Source organism: Homo sapiens, chromosome 5, assembly GCF_000001405.40.
Source record: "Homo sapiens chromosome 5, GRCh38.p14 Primary Assembly".
NCBI lineage: Eukaryota > Metazoa > Chordata > Mammalia > Primates > Hominidae > Homo > Homo sapiens.
The window spans coordinates 98,956,087-98,976,722 of NC_000005.10; the positions used below are offsets into that span (position 1 = coordinate 98,956,087).

The 20,636-nt window shown below is 39.3% G+C and overlaps 1 long non-coding RNA gene across 1 annotated transcript in view, besides 1 other annotated feature; it reads left to right on the forward strand.

The window, feature by feature from the left end:
• The window catches only part of CHD1-DT (CHD1 divergent transcript), a 75,460-nt gene that overhangs the window by 27,525 nt on the left and 27,299 nt on the right, over positions 1 to 20,636 (forward strand). The gene's annotated exons all lie outside the window — the stretch shown is intronic.
• Positions 6,687 to 7,431: an enhancer, noted in NCBI's record as "OCT4-NANOG hESC enhancer chr5:98298477-98299221 (GRCh37/hg19 assembly coordinates)". NCBI's record gives its function as "activates a minimal SCP1, AML or CMV promoter by ChIP-STARR-seq in naive H9 embryonic stem cells {active_cell/tissue: H9 hESC(naive)}" and the evidence as "EXISTENCE:reporter gene assay evidence [ECO:0000049][PMID:30033119]".

The following is a 20,636-nucleotide window of genomic DNA, read 5'->3' on the forward strand; positions in this document are numbered from 1 at the left end:
TGTCTTCTTTTGAGAAGTGTCTGTTCATGTCCTTCGCCCACTTTTTGATGGGGTTGTTTGTTTTTTTCTTGTAAATTTGTTTGAGTTCATTGTAGATTCTGGATGTTAGCCCTTTGTCAGATAAGTAGATGGCAAAAATTTTCTCCCATTCTGTAGGTTGCCTGTTCACTCTGATGGTAGTTTCTTTTGCTGTGCCGAACTCTTGAGTTTAATTAGATCCCATTTGTCAATTTTGGCTTTTGTTGCCATTGCTTTTGGTGTTTTAGACATGAAGTCCTTGCCCATGCCTATGTCCTGAATGGTAATGTCTAGGTTTTCTTCTAGGGTTTTTATGGTTTTAGGTCTAACATTTAAGTCTTTAATCCATCTTGAATTAATTTTTGTATAAGGTGTAAGGAAGGGATCCAGTTTCAGCTTTCTACATATGGCTAGCCAGTTTTCCCAGCACCATTTATTAAATAGGGAATCCTTTCCCCATTTCTTGTTTTTGTCAGGTTTGTCAAAGATCAGATGGTTGTAGATATGCGACATTATTTCTGAGGGCTCTGTTCTGTTCCATTGGTCTGTATCTCTGTTTTGGTACCAGTACCATGCTGTTTTGGTTACTGTAGCCTTGTAGTACAGTTTGAAGTCAGGTAGCATGATGTCTCCAGCTTTGTTCTTTAGGCTTAGGATTGACTTGGCAATGCGGGCTCTTTTTTGGTTCCATATGAACTTTAAAGTAGTTTTTTCCAATTCTGTGAAGAAAGTCATTGGTAGCTTGATGGGGGTGGCATTGAATCTATAAATTACCTTGGGCAGTATGGCCATTTTCATGATATTGATTCACTTCTAAAACATATACCATTTACTAAGAAATCTGTTAAATGTTCAGGTGGTTTTGCACAGTTTTCTAGGCAGAATATTTAAACCATATGTTCAGTAATAGGCACATTTCTCCTTTGGACAATATGGAATCACTTTCCATAAAGTATTTTCAAAAAATATTCATGTATTTTTTAGCAATGGAACTATTTTTAAAACAAAAATTTGCTTAGAATCTTAGGAAGTCAAAGAGGTAAACATAGCAATGCTAGAGTTGAAGCTTGGTTGGGATGCAGAGGCTCTTCCACTCAGCCATCCATCCATTATCCTAGAAGCCCTGTAGGATTCACCAAGAATCCTGGGTCCTTCAGAAATCGAGTTTAGGAACTGGTATAAGGAACAAGCACCAGGTAAGAATCTGAAAGCTTTGTTCTGAGTTTGAGACTTGCAGCTGGTCATTAACTTTCTCTGGTTTTTGGTTCCGTGATTGGTATAGTGGAGGTATAAGATGTAGATGATCTCTGAGGTATCCTCCAGCTCTAAAACTTTATGATTTCAAGTGCTACTGTTGATAAATTACTCCACATCTGTCCAATCAATGCCAGAGATTTAATCTAAGTTCATGAGCAAGCCAGGCTGTGCCAAAGAGGAAATAGTTCTTGACTCTGTATTTGGCATTGTTTTTAACACTAGAAGCAAATTTCATTTTTCATATTGGCTACGTTCATCCCTGATCATGAACCAATAATTATTTCAACATTGCCTAGTTTATCTGACACAAATAAGGAATGTTCATGTTGTTACATATTTGAAAACTCTGACTTCTAGTTCATGAATATCAAGTTGAATAGAAACTTGGCACATAGTAGGCATTCAATAAATAGTTGTTCCTTATGACTATGCTAAAAACCACTGAATTGTATACTTTAAAAGAGTGTATTTTATGGTACGTGAATTGTATCTGTTTTTTTAAGTTGTTAAGTGAATGAATTAAATAGTTATATTTCTGGATGTAGACGTAAGGGAATTTGTTGCAGTTTTAAAATCCTAATTTCTGGTGCTCAGAATAAAACAACAGCAACAACGAAAACCAAATTAAAAAAAAATTAAAAAAGAACAAAAGAAGCTGCCACTTGTTGTCAGGAGACATTAAGGATATTGGGGCTGGACACAGTGGCTCACACCTGTAATCCCAGCACTTTGGGAGGCCAAGGTGGGAAGATTGCTTGAGCCCAGGAGTTCAAGATGAGCCTGGGCAATAGAGTGACACTCTGTTTATATAAAAAGAAACAAGGTCTCACTTTGTCACCCAGGCCGGAGAGCAGTGGTGCAAACACAGCTCACTGCAGCCTTGACCTCCCAGGCTCAAGGGATCCTCCTGCCTCAGTTACCCAAGTAGCTGGGACTACAGGCCCATACTACCACACCCAGCTAAATTTTGTATTTTTTGTAGAGATGGGTATTTGTCATGTTGCCCAGGCTGGTCTTGAACCCCTGGGCTCAAGAAATCTGCCCATCTCAGCCTCCCAAAGTGCGAGGATTACAGGCATGAGCCACTGCACCTGGCCACATTCCTAAAGTTTTTAAGATTTTGGCAAGCATGTTACATAATAGAATTTTCCTTGCTGCGTTTTCAGAGGCAAAATAGTGACTAGATCAACTTCACTCATAAATTTCTATGGCATTTTATAATGTTTTTATGGGTCGGGCGTGGTGGCTCACGCCTGTAATACCAGCACTCTGGGAGGCCAAGGCGGATGAATCACCTGAGGTCAGGAGTCGAGACCAGCCTGGCCAACATGGTAAAAACCCATATCTACTAAAAAATACAAAAAACTAGCCGGGCGTGATGGCGGGCGCCTGTAATCCCAGCTACTTGGGAGGCTGAGGCAGGAGAATCACTTGAACCCGGGAGGCAGAGGTTTCGGTGAGCCGAGATTGCGCCATTGCACTCCAGCCTGGGCAACAAGAGCAAAACTCCGTCTCAAAAAAAAAAAAATGTTTTTATGCTTTGTAAGTATTACATTCAATGCCATGAATTCACGATGCCTAATATGTTGCCTATTATTCCCTTGGGTCAATTTCTTAATGCGGTGAGAGCCATGGGCTTACACATTAACTGTAAACATTTACAATGTTTGGAATCGGCTTGCACCTGTAATCTCAGATACTGGGAGGCTGAGGCAGGAGGCTTGCTTGAACCCAAGAGTTCTAGGCCAGCCTTAGCAACATACCAAGACCCTGCCTCTATAAAAAAAAAAGTATCAATTAGTCAGGTGGGTGGCAGCACGTGCACGTATTCCAAGGCGCTTGGGAGGCTGAGGCAGGAGGATCATTTGGGCCTAGGAGTTCAAGCCTGCAGTAACCTATAATCATGCCACTGCACTCCAGCCCGGGTAAGAGTGAAACCCTCATCTCTCTAAAAAAAGAAATTACAATGTTCAATCAAATGTACATAAACATAGTATTTTTATATACTTCCTTCTTTCTGAGTAAATGAATATTTGTTGGGGGAGAGCTTATAAATTAGTTTAAAATAAAAACTCTTTATATTTGGTTTATTTCTTATCTTTACTATATTATTAATAAGAGGGCAGCCATAGACTATTTTTAAGAATTCTATAGCCTACATATATTTCAGAGGCAAAAGTCCTTTAATTCTGCTTTAAAAACACTTAGTTCAGTAACACATGGTACATACTTTTTTTTTTTTTTTTTTTTTTTTGAGACAGAGTCTCACTCTGTCACCCAGGCTGGAGTGAAGTGGCACAATTTCGGCTCACCACAACCTCTGCCTCCCTGGTTCAAGCAGTTCTCATGCCTCAGCCTCCCAAGTAGCTGGGACTACAGGCTCATGCCACCATGCCCGCCTGATTTTTATATTTTTAGTAGAGACAGGGTTTCGCCATGTTGGCCAGGCTGGTCTCGAACTCCTGACCTCAGTTGATCTGCCTGTCTTGGCCTCCCAAACTGTTGGGATTACAGGCATGAGCCACTGCACCCAGCCAGTACATACTATTTAAACTCTGCTGACACATCATTTATACCTCTGATATAACCCTTAGAACGTGGAGGGTCCTAAGTAACTGTCTAACCGTCTCATTTTATAGATAAGAAAAGTAAAGCCTGAAAAGCTTACATGACATGTCCAACACTACCTAGCCACTTGATGGCAGAGTTTATGCTTCAGAATTACCTAGAAATTCAAAAGATAATTCAAAAATCATTTACATTATCAAATTCCCAAACAAACCTGATGACTTTTCCTGCTCCTATATCCTAATTCTCATTTGCTGTTTTTCTCCTCTTGATATGTTAATATTTGCATACATCTTAATTATTTACAGAGTATTTGAGATAACCCAGCAGCATATTGCATAAAACTCTTAGGTTTGCTTTGTACTATAGTAATACGTTTAGGTGATTGATTGATTGATTGATTGATTGATTTTATTTTTTGAGACGGACTTTCACTCTTGTTGCCCATGCTGGTGTGCAGTGGCGTGATCTTAGCTCATTGCAACCTCCGCCTCCCAGGTTCAAGCCATTCTCTTGTCTCAGCCGCCCAAGTAGCTGGGATTACAAGCATGTGCCACTATGCCTGGCTAATTTTTGTATTTTTAGAAGAGACAGGGTTTCACCATGTTGGTCATGCTGGTCTCAAACTCCTGACCTCGGGTGATCCATCCGCCTCAGCCTCTGAAAGTTCTGGGATTACAGGTATGAGCCACCATGCCCGGCCAAGTTTGGACGATTTCTAAAAGTCATTATTTACAGCACGTTATAATGACATCTATACGTCTGTTAAAAATTATTCTTTATATAGGCTTTGAACATTTCTGACAAAAACTGTATTTGTGTTTGTTCTCAATATTGTAGTACTCACTTTAATGCTATAACCTGAGGAAACTGAAGATCAGAAGCATGAGGAGAGACATTTTTATGTACTTGTTTCTCTTAGTTAAAAGATGAGTTCCCTCAACCTTGGTTTTCCCACGCAGGTTTGTCTCTGCCTCAGAGATGAATTGAAGAATTATTCTCACCAGCAGCAGGTGTAGTTAGTCAGTTTACCAACATATTTGTTATATCACGAGAATACTTTGGTCGTCAGTAATCATTTTTTATGATCCACTTACTGACCAACCAGAGATTCACTAAATACACACACATGCACACACACACACACACACACACACTTGCAAAGCTACAAATCAGGTTCTATGGTGGATGATGAGGTATGACCCCCACCGCACCCCCCAATTCTAGCCCCTTAAGGACTAAGACACTTAGCGCCCGTTTGCCCAGAGTGTTGGCTGCTGACTGCTGGCAGCTACATTCTTCTTGTGAAATTGTTCTTTACATAAAGAAGCTGCTTCACCTAAGTTTACACCCCCACTATCAATGTGGGAATACAAAGGCCTGGACCCTTGGCTTTAATTTAGAACTTCTCTGAAGGGGCTTCAGAGCTCCCGTGGGTCAACTGAGGCCTCTGTTGTAACTTCATCACAGTTCAATTTCTCCCTCTCTAATCCTACTTCCTTACCTCTCACAGATCATGTTCCTGAGAGAAACCCTCCTTTCCACAACAAACCTCCTACATGCGCACCTCAGAATCTCAGTCTATTTCCTGGGATCCCAACTTGCAGCTGCTTACAAATATGTGTGTGTGGAAATGGAAGGAGAAAAAAGAAGAAGTTTGAATGAGTTGATTAATTTTGCCTATCACATGTGGCATAATCATGGGAGAAAGGCCAGGAAAACAAGGCTTGGATATTAAATTCATTTTCTTATATAATACTACTGGTTCTATTTTTTCTATAGTCCTTACATTGGATTATCATTTAATTACCTCTGAATGTTAGACTACCTCATCCTTCCATTCTTTACCCACTTTTCTCTCTATAATTGCATAAAGAGGCCAGATGTGGTGGTGTACATCTGTAATCCCAGCGCTTTGGGAGGCTGACATGGGAGGATCAGTTGAGGCCAGGAGTCTGAGACAAGCCTGGGCAATATAGCGAGATCCAGTCTCTTAAAAAAAAATTATAAACCATCTTTTCTATTCAGGTAAGTCCTATGAATTTAATTAGCACCTATACACACGTGGATTCCTAAATCTTTAGCTCCAATTCTAACCATTTTCTGAGGTTTAGATAAGAATTTTCTAAGCCTATTTGACCTCTCAACTTGAATTTTTGACAGACACTTCAAATTTATTGTGTCCAAAACTAAACTCATTACCATCTAAACCACTTCCCCATATAGTCTCTATGTTTTAATACAGTCACTATCTGCCCAGTTCCCCTAAAGTAAATGATCTAACCATTGTTAATCTTCCCATATGTTATACTGATTGATCACCAAATCTTGAAAATTCTAATCAGAAATGTAAAATCTATTTTTTCTACTGCTTTACTTAAGTCTTGTCATTTTATTTTCTTTTTTGGTCTGAAAGGCTACCTAGATATTCAATTTTAGTTCTTTAACCATCCTCCCAGTTTTTTGGTGTAACTCACCACATACCACCTACCTTTACAGTCTGTAAAAGAAACTGTATCCAGCGGTATTTGTGAAAACCAATTTGGGCCCCACTTCCCTGTTTCTGATCCATTACATATCCTGAGTTCTTATTCTGTCTCTTTTACTTCGAATTGGCATTTATGTGTGTGTTTGGGCTCTTGTATCCATCCTATCTATCCTGTAGGATACAGACTTGGCTGGCTGTACTCTGGACCCCTGCAGGTGATGTTATCATTCTCATACTCTGAGCTGAAGCCTCTGGGTACTAAGGATGTAGCAGTCAACAAAAATTACTATTCTCATAGAGTTTACATTCTAGTGGGAAAAGTGCATCTGTTGAAGCTCAGAGATGAGGGAGGGGAATAACCACAATATTTACACTTTCTCACCTGGCTGACCTAGTTTGTTAAAGAGGGAGAGAGACTGTTTGTCCAGTAGATTGTACCAGCATCTCCTCCCATAGTTGTCCAAGGGTTCTGTAAGCCATTGCTACTTCACCCTCTTCAAACATATCTTGGGATCAATTGTAAAAAACAAAAACAAAAACAGCCTTCCTTGCTTAAGCAACTGCAAATTCATATGAAAGCCTGAGACTCATAATTGATATGTATAGTAGGGTGATATTTTACGATATTATAAGGATACAATGTAATCTTCACAGCTTTCCTTTTCCTTGGTTTGAGGCTTATTACACAAAAGGAGCCAGAGGATTATTACACAAAGGAAGCTACACCAGAAAGGATGCTGATTAGCTTTGAGACTCAAAGCTGACTTTCCTGACCTCTCTAAGAAGAGAATTATCTTGCAAACCTGGAGAATGAAAGGGTTTCCCAAACTCCTTTTGCTGGCATTAACACATCAAAGGCTAGGCCTGATAGCTATTAGGCTCTCACATCACCACTGCCCACAATAGGAAACATCATATTGTGACCCAGTTCACATGTACCTAGACCGAATATTATACGTACATGTGAACTGGATCATAATATACATACACACACACATATGCATTATCACTGAAACAAAAATTTAACATGCATTTTGATATATTCTATCCACTACAATTTTATTTCTTTTTAATACACTATTCACAGCACACTGAACTGTGATGTGCATTAAAAAAATACCACCTAGGATTTTTCAAAAGGGAGAATTCAGTGAGACAGAAAAAGAAGTTAATTCTGCTTCTGCTGGGGGGAGGGTTGGGGATGGGCAGGGGTGGGGGCCGTGCTTAGGGAAAGGATCTGAAGAATCAGAATGTTCAAATTCTTGGTGTTGGGTAGGTTTTGATCAGAGGGAAAATATCTTACAGTGAAGAATAGAATTATTTGATGTCGCTTATTAAAAGCTGAAAGTTTGAAGTCACTGCATTCAGGGGGAACTGTAAGGTCACCAAGACATAGTAAAAAAATAGATAAGGATGAGGCAACTGCAGAATGTTTACATTCTTACAGGGATAAGCACAGGATAAGCTAAAACCACAGCTGGTGTTTGACCAAAGAAGAACTGGCTATAACTGACATTGCTCTGTGTGGGTCCCTCCTGATGACCTGGGCAGTGAAATTCCTCCTTATGATAATGATATTATAAAAAGAAAGAAGTAAGAAAATGAAGTAATTGGTAACCAGTGGTGGAGCAACCTGTGGTCTAGTTACTGTCACCTTGAGGGAAAGAGTGGGGAGCACTTGTGTTTGTGGTGGGTTGGGTGGTGGTGGCTGCAGGTGGAAAGTTGTGCAAGAAAGATGAGACCATGAAAATGATAAACATGAGGTAGGCATAAAAGTGTACAGACTTGTAGGCCGGGCGCACTGGCTCACGCCTGTAATCCCAGCACTTTGGGAGGCCAAGGCGGGTGGATCACCTGGTCGGGAGTTCGAGACCAACCTGACCAACATGGTGAAACCCTGTCTCTACTAAAAATACAAAAAATTAGCCTGGTGTGGTGGCGCATGCCTGTAATCCCAGCTACTCGGGAGGCTGAGGCAGGAGACTCACTTGAACCCAGGAGGTGGAGGTTGTGGTGAGCTGAGATGGCGCCATTGCACTCCAGCCTGGGCAACAAGAGTGAAAACTCCATCTCAAAAAAAAAATGTACAGACTTGCATACTTAGAGAAAATGCCTAGGTGCTGTAGACATGTTATAATTAACCGACAAGGTTGTTGTGTTCAATAAAGATAATAGAATTTTGTGTCTCCACATTGTCTCATCAGTTTCCCCCATCCTACCTTTGAAGCAACAAGTAGATTAAGCTGAGGTTTTTCCAGGCTGGGTTAAATTTAGATTTTTTTCTTCCTTGCCTCCCAAAAGGGGAGGAACTAAAAAGGAAGATGAGATTGTTGACTGCTATATCCTTAGTACCCAGAGGGGACTAAGAGGTTATAGTAAATGAAAAGACCTCATTGTCATTGTACATTCAAGTTTAGTGAGTAAATGTGTGACCCCATCCATATGGTCTTTGCTGAAATGTCACCTTTCAGCAGGCCTTCCCTAACCACACTATAATTTACCCCAAGCACTCCTGTTTCTCCTGTTCTGCTTTACACTTCTACATAGCATTTATCACAAACAACAGTGTGTATGTATGAATAATATAATGAATCTCATATGTTCCCATCACCAAGCTTCAATAATTATTAATATTTTACCCATCATTTAATCTATACCCTCATCATTTTGTTTTGCTTTGTTTGGGCTTTTTTCTGAAATGTTTTAAAGTGAATACCAGACATGACATTTCCCTTCATACTGTTTTACTTATTTAATGTCTGTCTTCTCCTACTAGAATATGTGCTCAACAAGGGCAGGAATTTTTATCTACTGTTCACAGAAACAGTCCCAGCATCTTTTTTTCTTTTTCTTTTTAAATTCATTCAAGTTTGAGAAGTTATTCTTATTCCGAGCATCTTTTTTTTTTGTTTTTTTTTTGTTTTTTTTTTAAGACAAAGACTCACTCTGTTACTCAGGCTAGATTGCAGTAGCATGATCACAGCTCACTGCAGCCTCAGCCTTCCCAGGCTCATGTGATCCTCACACTTCAGCCCCCTCAGAAGCTGAAATTGCAACTGCACGCCACCACACCCAGCTAATTTTGTATTTTTTGTAGAGATGGGATTTCGCATGTTGCCCAAGCTGGTCTCGAGCTCCTGGGTTCAAGCAATCTGCCCACCTCAGCCTCACAAAGTGCTGGGATTATAGGCATGAGCCATCACTCCAGCCCCAGCACCTTAAAAAGGTTCCTGGCACATAATAAGTACACAGTAAATATTTTTGAGTGCATAAATATGGAATCCAAAAAGTAACATTTTCAGTCTCTTGCTAGTTAGGCATTATCTCAGTCAGTTCAGGGTGCTATAATGGAATATCATAGATTGGGTGGCTTAAACAACAGAATAGTTTGTTTTTAGTGTATAGAAATGCAACTAATTTTTCATATGTTGGTTTTGTATCCTGCAACTCTCTGGATTTATTAGTTCGAAGAGTTTTTTTATGGCATTTTTAAAGGATTTTCTATACATAAGATGTTGCTCACAAAGAGGGACAACTTTACTTCTTCCTTTTCGATGTGGATATTTCTTATTTCTTTTTCTTGCCACGTTGCTCTGGCTAGGACTTCTAGTACTTTGTTGAATTGAAGTGGTGAAAGTGGGCATATTTGCCTTGTTCCTGATCTTAGAGAAAAAGCTTTCAGTTTTCCACTGATGAATATGATGTTAGCTGTTGGCTTTTCATATATATACTTTATTATGTTGAGGTACTTCACTTCTCTTCCCTTTTTAAAATTTTTTAAAAATCCCAAATTGTAGTAGAGAGAGTCTGTGGGTTTTTTTTTTTTAATCACAGAAGGATGTTGAATCTCATAAAATGCTTTTTTGGCATCTATTGAAATGATCATATGGATTTTATCTGTTGATGTGGCAAATCACATTGTTTAATTATTTTGTATCTGAAAAGAAAATTAGGAAAACAATCCCATTTACAACAGCACCAAAAATAATAAAATACTTAGGAATAAACTTAATTAAGGAGGTAAAAGACATACACTGAAAACTATAAAACATTGATGAAATAAAGAAGACATACATAAATGGAATGATACTGTATTCATGGACTGGAAGGTTTAAAATTGTTAAAATATTCATACTATACAAAACAATTCAGATTTAATGCAATCCCTGTCAAAATCCCAATGGCATTTTTTTTTTACAGAAATAGAAAAAAAATTCTAAAATTCATGTGGAACCACAAAAGACCACGAATAGCCAAATCAATCTTGGAAAAGAACAAAGCTGGAAGCATCCCACATCCTGACTTCAAAATATATTACAAAACTACAGTAATCAAAACATATATACAAAAACACATATACAAAAATACATATACAAAAATCAGCTCAAAATAAATTAAAGATTTAAATGTAAGGCCTGAAACAGTAAAACTCCTAGAAGAAAACTTAGGGGAAAACCTTCATGACATTGATCGGCAATGATTTTGTATATACAACACCAAAAAGACAGGCAGCAAAAACAAAAATAAGTGGGACTACATCAAGGTACATAAACCTGCACAGCAAGGGAAACAATCAACAAAGTGAAAAAGCAACTTACACAATAGAAGAAGATATTTGCAAACCACATTCTGATAAAGGTTAATCTCCAAAATATACAGTGATTTCCTACAACTCAATAGTAAGAAAATGGATAACCAGATTTTAAAAAATGGTCTAAGGACTTGAACAGACATTTTTCCAAAGAAGACATGCAAATGGCCAACAGATATGTGAAAAACAAATGCTCAATGTCATAAATCAGGGACATGCAATTTAAAACGACAATGAGATACCACCTCACACCTGTCAGGATGGTTACTATCAAAGGAAACAAAAAACAAGGGTTGGCAAGAATGTGGAGAAACTGGAACCCTTGTTAGTGGGAATGTAAAATGGTGCAGTTGCAGTGGAAAACAATAGAGAGCTTCCTCAAAAAATTTAAAAAATGGGACTACTGTGTGATTCTGCAATCCCACTTCTGACTGTATATCCAAAACAATTGAAATCAGGATCTCAAAGATGTTAGCACTCCTGTGTTCATTACAGCACTATTTCACCATAACCAAGATGAGGCTATAACCTAAATGTTCATGGAAAGATGAATGGATTTTTAAAGTGTGGTACATACAAATGGTAAAATATTATTCAGCCCTAAAAAAGAAGGGAATTCTACAATATGCAACCACTGGATGAACCTTGAGGACATTACATTAAGCAAAGCAAGCCAGTCACAGAAGGACAAATACTGCATGATTTCACTTATTTGAGGTATCTAAAATAGTCAAATCTGGAAATTCAAGGAAGGAATGGTAGTTTCCAGGAGTGGAGGAAGGAGAAATGGGGTATTATTAATCAATAGGCATGAAGTTTCATTTAAGCAAGATGAGCAAGTTGTATAGATCTGCTGTACAACATTGTGCCTGTAATCAAAAACACTGTTATTGTACACTTAAACATTTGTTAAAAAGGTAGATCTCATGGTAAGTGTTCTTACAACAATGAAATAAAATTAAAAAAAAAGAAAAACTGCCAAGTCTAACACTGCTATCCTACCAGTGAGCACTTTTTTCCTCAAACTTGCAGCAGCCACTGCTCAAAGTTCTCCATCTCAGTATCCATTTGTCAGTAACCCACCATCATAGGCCAATTACTGCACTGGGTTCTAGATCATTTACACTTCTACGTACTATACAGGCCCAAGGCATAATTCACTAGAATAGAATTTGCAGAATGTGTTGCTCTACCCATTCAGCTAATCCCAGCAGTCATTACCGTTACAGCTTCCATCCCTAAATCCCCACTTCCCTGCCCCTCTAAGAACCAGCCTCTGATTGATAGTGGGATAAGCTGCTTAAGAAAACCTACAGGATCCACTCTGCTCTTGGACATCTAATGTTTTAGCATAGTCAGCACATTGTCATTCTTATGGTAAATGCACCAGATTTTTGCTTAGGGCACTGTCTTTCTTTGGTTACCATTCCACATCGTTAGGTTGGGACTGATCCCTCCACCTTTAATCCAGACGAAATTATGTAAGCCAGTCAGAGAATCTCATTAGCCTTGCCACAGTGCTTGGGTCATAGATAAATGTATAACAGGAAACAGGCAAATCAAAGGCATGAAACCCATTTCTGAGCTGTATGTTGGAATTGTTGGGGGCAGAATAGCTCTCTTCACAACAGGTTTAAACCTAAAAAATTTTGAGCTGCTGGTTGCACTTTTGCTATCATGTGTGGAGAGCCTGAGGTGAGCCTATCTGAGACTGAAGATAATGCTTAGGAAAGGGAACCAAGAAATGACTAGTTAATATCAATTGAGCAATTACTATGTGTTCATCACAATTGATCATTTAATTCTACAGTAACTCTTAGAAACAGGGTCCACATTGATCATCCACAAGCTGGAGATGAGGTCAATAAGAATAAATGTCTTGCCCAAAGTTTTACAGCTAATGGCAAAGCTGAGATTTGTACCTAGGCAGTCTAGATCTAGAACCCATGTTCAGTACCGCTATGCTACACTGTGTCAATGTATGCTAATATATTGACTAATAAATACACACTTCAGAAACAGCTAGAGAGAGAGTAAGAGCCTGAGAGAGACAATGAGTCCTGGTTATTTGTCTTTGAGTGCCTGGATCTAATCATACCTGAAATCATAAACTTTTTTTTTTTTTTGAAACGGAATCTTGCACTGTCACCCAGGCTGGAGGGCAGTGGCACGATCTCAGCTCACTGCACCCTCCGCCTCCCGGGTTCAAGCGATTCTCCTGCCTCAGTCTCCTGAGTAGCTGGTATTACAGGGGCCTGCCACCACACCCAGCTAATTTTTTGTATTTTTAGTAGGGACGGGTTTCACCATGTTGGCCAGACTGGTCTCAAACCCCTGACCTCGTGATTCACCCGCCTCAGCCTCCCAAAGTGCTGGGAATATAATCGTGAGCCACCATGCCCGGCCTAAACTTTTTTTTTTTAAATTAAATAAGCAAATTCCCCTTTCCGCTTTTTTTCAGAAGCCAGTTTGACTGTTAAAACTGATAAAACTGATAAAACTCCTAATATATCCTTCAATATGCAAGGAGTGATACACAGAAACCTGTATCAAACGTGAAAGCTTACAGATCACACTGAAACCACTGGATGGCTCTACAGACTTTGCAAACATTTACGCTTGCATCTAGGAGAAATTTGAGGACTATTTCATGAGATTCTTTGAGGTAATTCATTGAAGTAACCAACCCTTCAGTATTCTCCCTGTATTTACCTCTGCCCACTTATGCTCTCTTTCATTTCTTCATGCCAAGCCTGACTGGCATACACCTTGCTCTACATCTAGGGTCTACAGCTTCAGGAAAAATCAGAGTACATAGTGAAAGCAGTGTCCTGGTGACCTGGCATGCTGCAACCCAGGCTCCCATCTCAAAATTGCCCATAAATGTATCTGTTTTCCATGGACCTTCCCCAGAAAAGTTACACTGAGCCTTGTCTAGTAGGGGAGCCTTGCGTCAGATATAGTGTCCATCTCAAATTTGTTGCTTTAAGTCATCCTAACACATCCACGTGGGGAACCTAAAGGAGCATGACCTGACCCTCCTCATTTGTTCATTTTCTGTTCCTGCTTTCGTCCTGTCCTTAAGTGATTTCCAATTGGAGACGCTTCTTATTTAACCTACCATTTCTGTAGGCAAATATTTCTTAATCAGTATTACAGACAACACAATAAACAAAAAGATTAGCAAATATTAACAAAGTGATAATATTAAAATTAAGAATTTCTGTTTCTTGAAAGATACAATTGAGAGACTGGAAAGGCAAGATACGAAAAAAACGTTTGCAGTGCGTACAGCAAAGAGACCCTACAAATTAATAAGAAAAGTACCTAGAAAAATAGATAAGAAATTTGATTGGCCAGGTGTGGTCAATCCTAGCACTTTGGGAGGCTGAGGCAGGCAGATCGCTTGAGCCCAGGAGTTTGAGACCAGCCTGGGCAACAAGATAAAACCCCGTCTCTACAAAAAAACAGAAAAATCAGCTGAGTGTGGTGGCAGGCACCTGTAACCCCAGCTACTTGGGAGGTGGAGGAGGGAGGATCACCTGAGACCAGGGAGCTGCGGCTATGGAGAGCTGTGATCATGCCACTGTATTCCAACCTGAGTGACAGAGTGAGACCCTGTCTCAAAAAAAAAAAAAAAAAAAAGTTAAAAAAAAAATCCCAAAACTTAATTTGGTACTCCATATAATAGGATACACAATTGATCAATCAATATATGAAAAGGTACGTAGCATCATTAGTCAAAAGGGAATTGAAATTAGAACTATAAGGAGTTAACATTCCCTACCCAGTGATCAGAATGGTTAAGAATATCAATACTAAGAGTTATGTGGGCCACATGGGGTGGCTCATGCCTGTAATCCCAATACTTTGGAAGACTGAGGCAGGAGGATCCTTTGAGGCCAGGAGTTCAAGACCAGCATGGGCAACATAGCAAGACACTGTCTCTACATAAAAATTAAAACATAATTTTTAAAAACTTAACCAGGCATAGTGGCATGTACCTGGAGTCCTAGCTACTCAGGAGGCAGAGGTAGGAGGATTCCTTGGCCCAGAAATTCAAGGTTACAGTGAGCTATGATCACACCACTGTACTCCAGCCTGAGAGACCCTACCTCTATTGAAAAAGATAAAAAGTTGATTTGGGTAATTTGTTGATGATCTGAAACTCTCACACACTTTTGGTAGGACTATAAATTGGTACAACTTTGCAAAAACAGTATTAATCTGCTAAAATTTTAATCTCCTAAAATCTTAGGGATACGCCCACCAGGAATGCAAACATGCATATCAAAGCTACACTGGAAGTTCTTAACAGTATTATTTATCCTAGCTATAAATTGCAAGCAACCCCAATGGAGTTAGAATGGATAAATAATATGTGACATATTCATGGAGCAAAATACCATTCAGCAGTAAAAGTGAAGACACTATAGCTATGTACACAATGTGAATGCGTCCCACAAACATACCGGACACCAAATAATATAAATGCATGATTCTATTAATGTATACTCAGAAATGAAATTTTAGAAGTTAGAATATTGGTTACCTTTGAGGAAAAGAAAAGGGATAGTTCACCTTGCTCCAGAATACCCTGGTAACATACATACTACCATGGCTGTCTGGTGGGTAATTCTACCCTCTGCCCCAAGTCCCATGTCCCACTCCAGACCACAAGCAGGTTCCCCAGTCTTTCTACCCGATTCACCAATGGAAGGGATGGTGGAACTGTGTTCTAACAATGGTCAACAACTCAGATTTTCCTAAACGTTGCATATACATGCATAACTATTTGTTCATACTGTTCCCTCTGCCTAGCATGGAATTCCCTCTTCTCTCTCAGCAGAGAAACTTAATACTCCCAATTCAAAACGCAGATGGCACCACGCGAGGTCAGAGAAAGAGGCAAGAAGTTTTAGTCAACCTGTCTTTGATTATTGGCTTGCCATATGCAGTCTACGTGTACTTGATCATCGCTTAACTTTTTAGCCTGTTTCTCATGTATGAAACGAGAATAATGATATCCAGCTCATGGGTTGTTTAAAGGAATACATGACATGATAAGGTAAGAGCTTATTACATATTATTTTTCTTTGGTTTCCTTTTTCCCTTGCAGTATCACTTGCTTTCAGCTATGTACTGGCACCACTCAGAATAATTTTAGAGTCATTAATTTTATTTATTTATTTTTCTCTTTTATTTCTTTTAACTTTATTTTTTTTAATTTTAAAGACATGGTCTTGCTTTGTTGCCCAGGCTGGTCTCAAACTCCTGGGCTCAGGTGATCCTTCTGCCTCAGCCTCCCAAAATGCTGGAATTACAGGCATGAGCCACAGCACATGGATCCAAGTCATTAATTTTGTTTTATTTAATGTAATTTATTTATTTGAGACAGGGTCTCACTCTGTTGCCCAGGCTGGAGTGCAGTGGTACGGTCTTGGCTCACTGCAACCTCCCTCCACCTCCCGGGTTCAAGCAATTCTTCTGCGTCAGCCTCCCGAGTAGCTGAGATTACAGGCATGGGCCACCATGCCCAGCTAATTGTTGTATTTTTAGTAGAGATGGGGTTTTACCATGTCAGTCTGGCTGGTCTTGAACTCCTGACCTCAAGTGATCCACCTGGCTCAGCTTCCCAAAGTGCTGGGATTACAGGCATGAGCCACCACCCCTGGCCCTAAGTCATTAATTTTAAAAAATGTTTATTTAGGATGAGCGTACTTGGTAGGAGCCAGGGTTAGAAAAAGAGCAAGATATGATTCACAAGAAATTATTACTTTGGCCAGGAACAGCAAGTTAGTGAATAAGAAAATGTCTAATGAAAAAATAATTTTCAGAAATTTTAAGAAAATTTTAAGAGATTTTAAAGCCATTATATGCAAGAGACTAAATTTTTTAGATAACCAGAGAGATTAATGAGAAATCTACAGTAGCTACGCTGATCTAAAGTTATTGGTATCTAGCTTAATAGGTATGTCAATGGGAAGAGAAAAAAAGATATGACACATGAGACATTAAGAAGGAAGAAGCATTATAATTTTTTAATAGATACTGTATAAAGAATAGTACAGGCCAGACATGGTGGCTCACGCCTGTAATTCCAACACTTTTCGAAGCCCAGGCGAGAGGATCACTTGGAGTCAGGAGTTTGAGACCAGCCTGAGCAAAAAAAGCAAGACCCCATCTCTAAAAATAAAAAATAAAAAAATTAGCCAGATGTGGTGGCATGCACCTGTGCTAGGTGACAGAGTGAGACCCTGCCGAAGAAGGAGAAGGCAAAGAAGAAGGAGAAGGAAGAAGAAAAGAAGAATGAGGAGAAGGAAGAAGGAGGAGAAGTGGTAGGATGAGGGTGACGAGCAGAAGAAGAAGGAGAAGAAGAAAGAAGAGGAAGAGGAGGAGAAAGGAGAAAGAGAAGGAGAAAAGAAGAAGAAAAGAATAGTACAATGTGAACCTGTTTTGTATTTTTTGGTTTTGTTTTTTTTAGCGACAGGGTCTCACTAGGTCATCCAGGCTGGATTACAGTGGCTCAGTCATAGCTTACTGCAGCCTTCTGTACTACAGGCACACACCACCATGCCAATTTTTTTTTTTTTTTTTTTTTTTTAAGATGAGGTCTCTGTGTTACTCAGGCTGATCTCAAATTCCTAGGTTCATGCAGTCCTGCTTCAGCCTCCTGAGTAGCTGGGATTGTAGGCATGAGCTACACTGCACCTCGCAATTTCAAAGTCACATAAAAATTGTATTTGTTTCCTCTGAAACCAAAAACCTACCAATATTTTATCAGTCTAACTGTATGTGCTTCCAATGGTGTTAGCTGAAAATTTCAAACATTCAAAACAAAACACACTTATAGAATAAATTCATCACGTTGATTCTAAATAACATTAAACATGTTTTATTAAACATCGTGATTTTAATTTTTGAAAGATGAGACTTTCGTCACTTCTGTCAAAATATCTATCTTGGAAAAAAGAAAATAGGATGCAGGAAAACATCAAGTGGCAACTGTTGCTACATAGCTAGAAGGCTACATATGTTTCAGTTATTAGACAAACATTTCCATGCTCTGTGGCTTTAAAAAAGATTACTGCCCATGTAATGGGACATAATTCTTAACAATACATACAATTTGACAACTTGAAATTTATTGGTATTGTTATGAGTTGTTTAACTGACAAAGTTTTACTTTGACATTTGAATAAAACATCTAATATGCAATTTGCTTAACATACTTTGCATATCAACTGCTATAATATAAACTTTTATTGTAACAATGGGAATATAAGATATAAAGACATTTTTACATAGTAGAAGTGAACCAGTGAATCCTTTAAGATGAAATGTGAAATCCTGGCAAGGAGGAGGAAAGAACAGAACATATTAATAGAATGCCCTAAGATGGTCTGGGAACACTTACCCCAAATCAATATTTCATCAAGCAGATCACATAGCAAAGCTACTAATGTTATTAAGCACTGAACTAAGATACGTAAATAGAGAATAAAAATTTGTAATACACAAAGTAAATTACATGTTTATAGTTGTGAATATATAAAAAGCCAGTATTTTAAAAAAAGATCCTGGAAGAATCATGGCTTGCCAATAATCAAAATTGATTCTGGAGTGTTTCATCAATGGAAGATCTTTTGAAGTAACAGGATACTCATAATGGGGAAGATACACTCAGGAGAGAGGAAAAAAAAGCCTTCTGGTATAAAATCATGGAATATCACAATAACTATTTAATAGGAACAAATATTCCTATTGAAGTACTAAACTTTAGTGTTCCTATTAAAATACTAAACTCCTGGATATTACTCATTTGACAGGAGACAGTTGAACCTCACTGTTATGCTTATACAAATGTTTGGAATGTAACTTCATCTGGAACAATATTTGCACCTGGAACTTTTTTTATAATCTCATGAAATTTGCCTTATGAGTTTCCACTGCCATTTTGGAGTAATCTACATTCAGTCCTTGCCTCCGTGTTAGTTCGTTGTTGCATTGCTATGAAGAAATACCTAGACGGGCACAATGGCTCACACCTATAATTCCAGAATTTTGGGAGGCTGAGGGGGGCAGGTCACTTGAGTCCAGGAGTTTGAAACCAGCCTGGGCAACACACTGAAACCCTGTCTCTACAAAAAAATACAAAAATTATCCTGGTGGTGCACACCTGTAGTCCCAGCTACTTAGGAGGCTAAGGTGGGAGGATCACTTGAGCCCAGGAGGCGGAGATTGCAGTGAGCCATGATTGCACCACTGCACGTCAGCAACTGGGTGACAGAGTAAGACCCTGTCTCAAAAAAAGAAAAGAGTGTGAGAGAGAGAGAGGAGAGAGAGAGAGAGAGAGAGAGAGAGAGAAATACCTGAGGCTGGGTAATTTATAAAGTAAACAAGTTTCATTGACTCACAGTTCTGCAGGCTGTACAGGAACTGAACACACCCACATAGGGTATGTACAGAAGCAGATGCTAGTGCATCTGCTTCTGGTGAGGCCTCAAGGAAGCTTACAAGCATGGCAGAAGGTGAAGGAGAACCAGCATGTGACATGGAGAGAGAGGGAGAAGATGTCATGCACTTTTATACAACCAGATCTCACATGAACTCAGAGCAAGAACTGACTAGCACCAAGAGGATGGCGCTAAGCCATTCAAGAGGGATTCACCCCAGTGATCCAAACACCTCCCACCAGAATCCACCTGCAACACTGGGAATTACATTTGAACTTGAGATTTGGAGGTGACAAACATCCCAACTATATCAGTTTCTACCCTGGTACAGGAATCCTCATTGCATATAGTGCCCTGCCATGTTGGGTGCCCTGAATTTCTTTCAGTTCTACTACGTACAAAAGTTAGCTGCTTGTGGGCAGTGAGTAACATTCATGAACTTTATGGAGGCTACAGAATTGCCTAGCTGTTCAGTTTGAGGATGCCCCAGAGGAGGGCTATCTCTTAGATACCGTGATAATTAATCTTTTTGCACATAGCATCAACTTCCCAAGACATAATATTTTATATCCAAACATTAGAAGAACAGAGTTCATGAATGTTAATGCCTAAGCATAGACTCTTCTGAAAGCTGTGGCTTGTTTATGTGGGTGTGTCTTTAGTTAGGTACCCTATGTGGGTGTGTCTTTAATGTCCCAAGCATTAAAAGCCACATCTGTTAGGGTCTAGGGCAGGAAACCCAGACTATGTCATGCGTGAGTGCCACTCCAGAGTATACGAAAGTGAGAACATATTAGAAAAGGTCTTACAGCTTCTCAAGCAGCTCTGTAGTTCCTTTATTCCCAATCTTCTCTTAACCCTCATGTGCTGGTGTTGCTGGTTGAGGACAGTTTCAAAGCAATAATTTCAGAGCCTATGAGCTGCCTCTGTTTATACAATGATATGTGTCACAACTCTCGTGGTTCCTGCAAAAGAGCTGTAATTCTTCTCAGGATTGGGGGTGCACACTTTAAAGGAGTATGTTGATAGAAACCTGTTACAGGAATTCATTTTCCCCTCAAGCCACTTCATGGAAGCACAAGTACAATTTGTAAATTTAGTGAGACCATAATTCAGGGATGCACTGGATTTGGGCTTCAAACTGAGTGCACAGACATCACTGGAAGACTTAGGGGAAAAAAAGGAAGAGACCCTCTGAACAAGGGGGAAAAATTGTCAGATGAAAAGGGTGAAACAGAATGATAACTGCCAGAGGAAG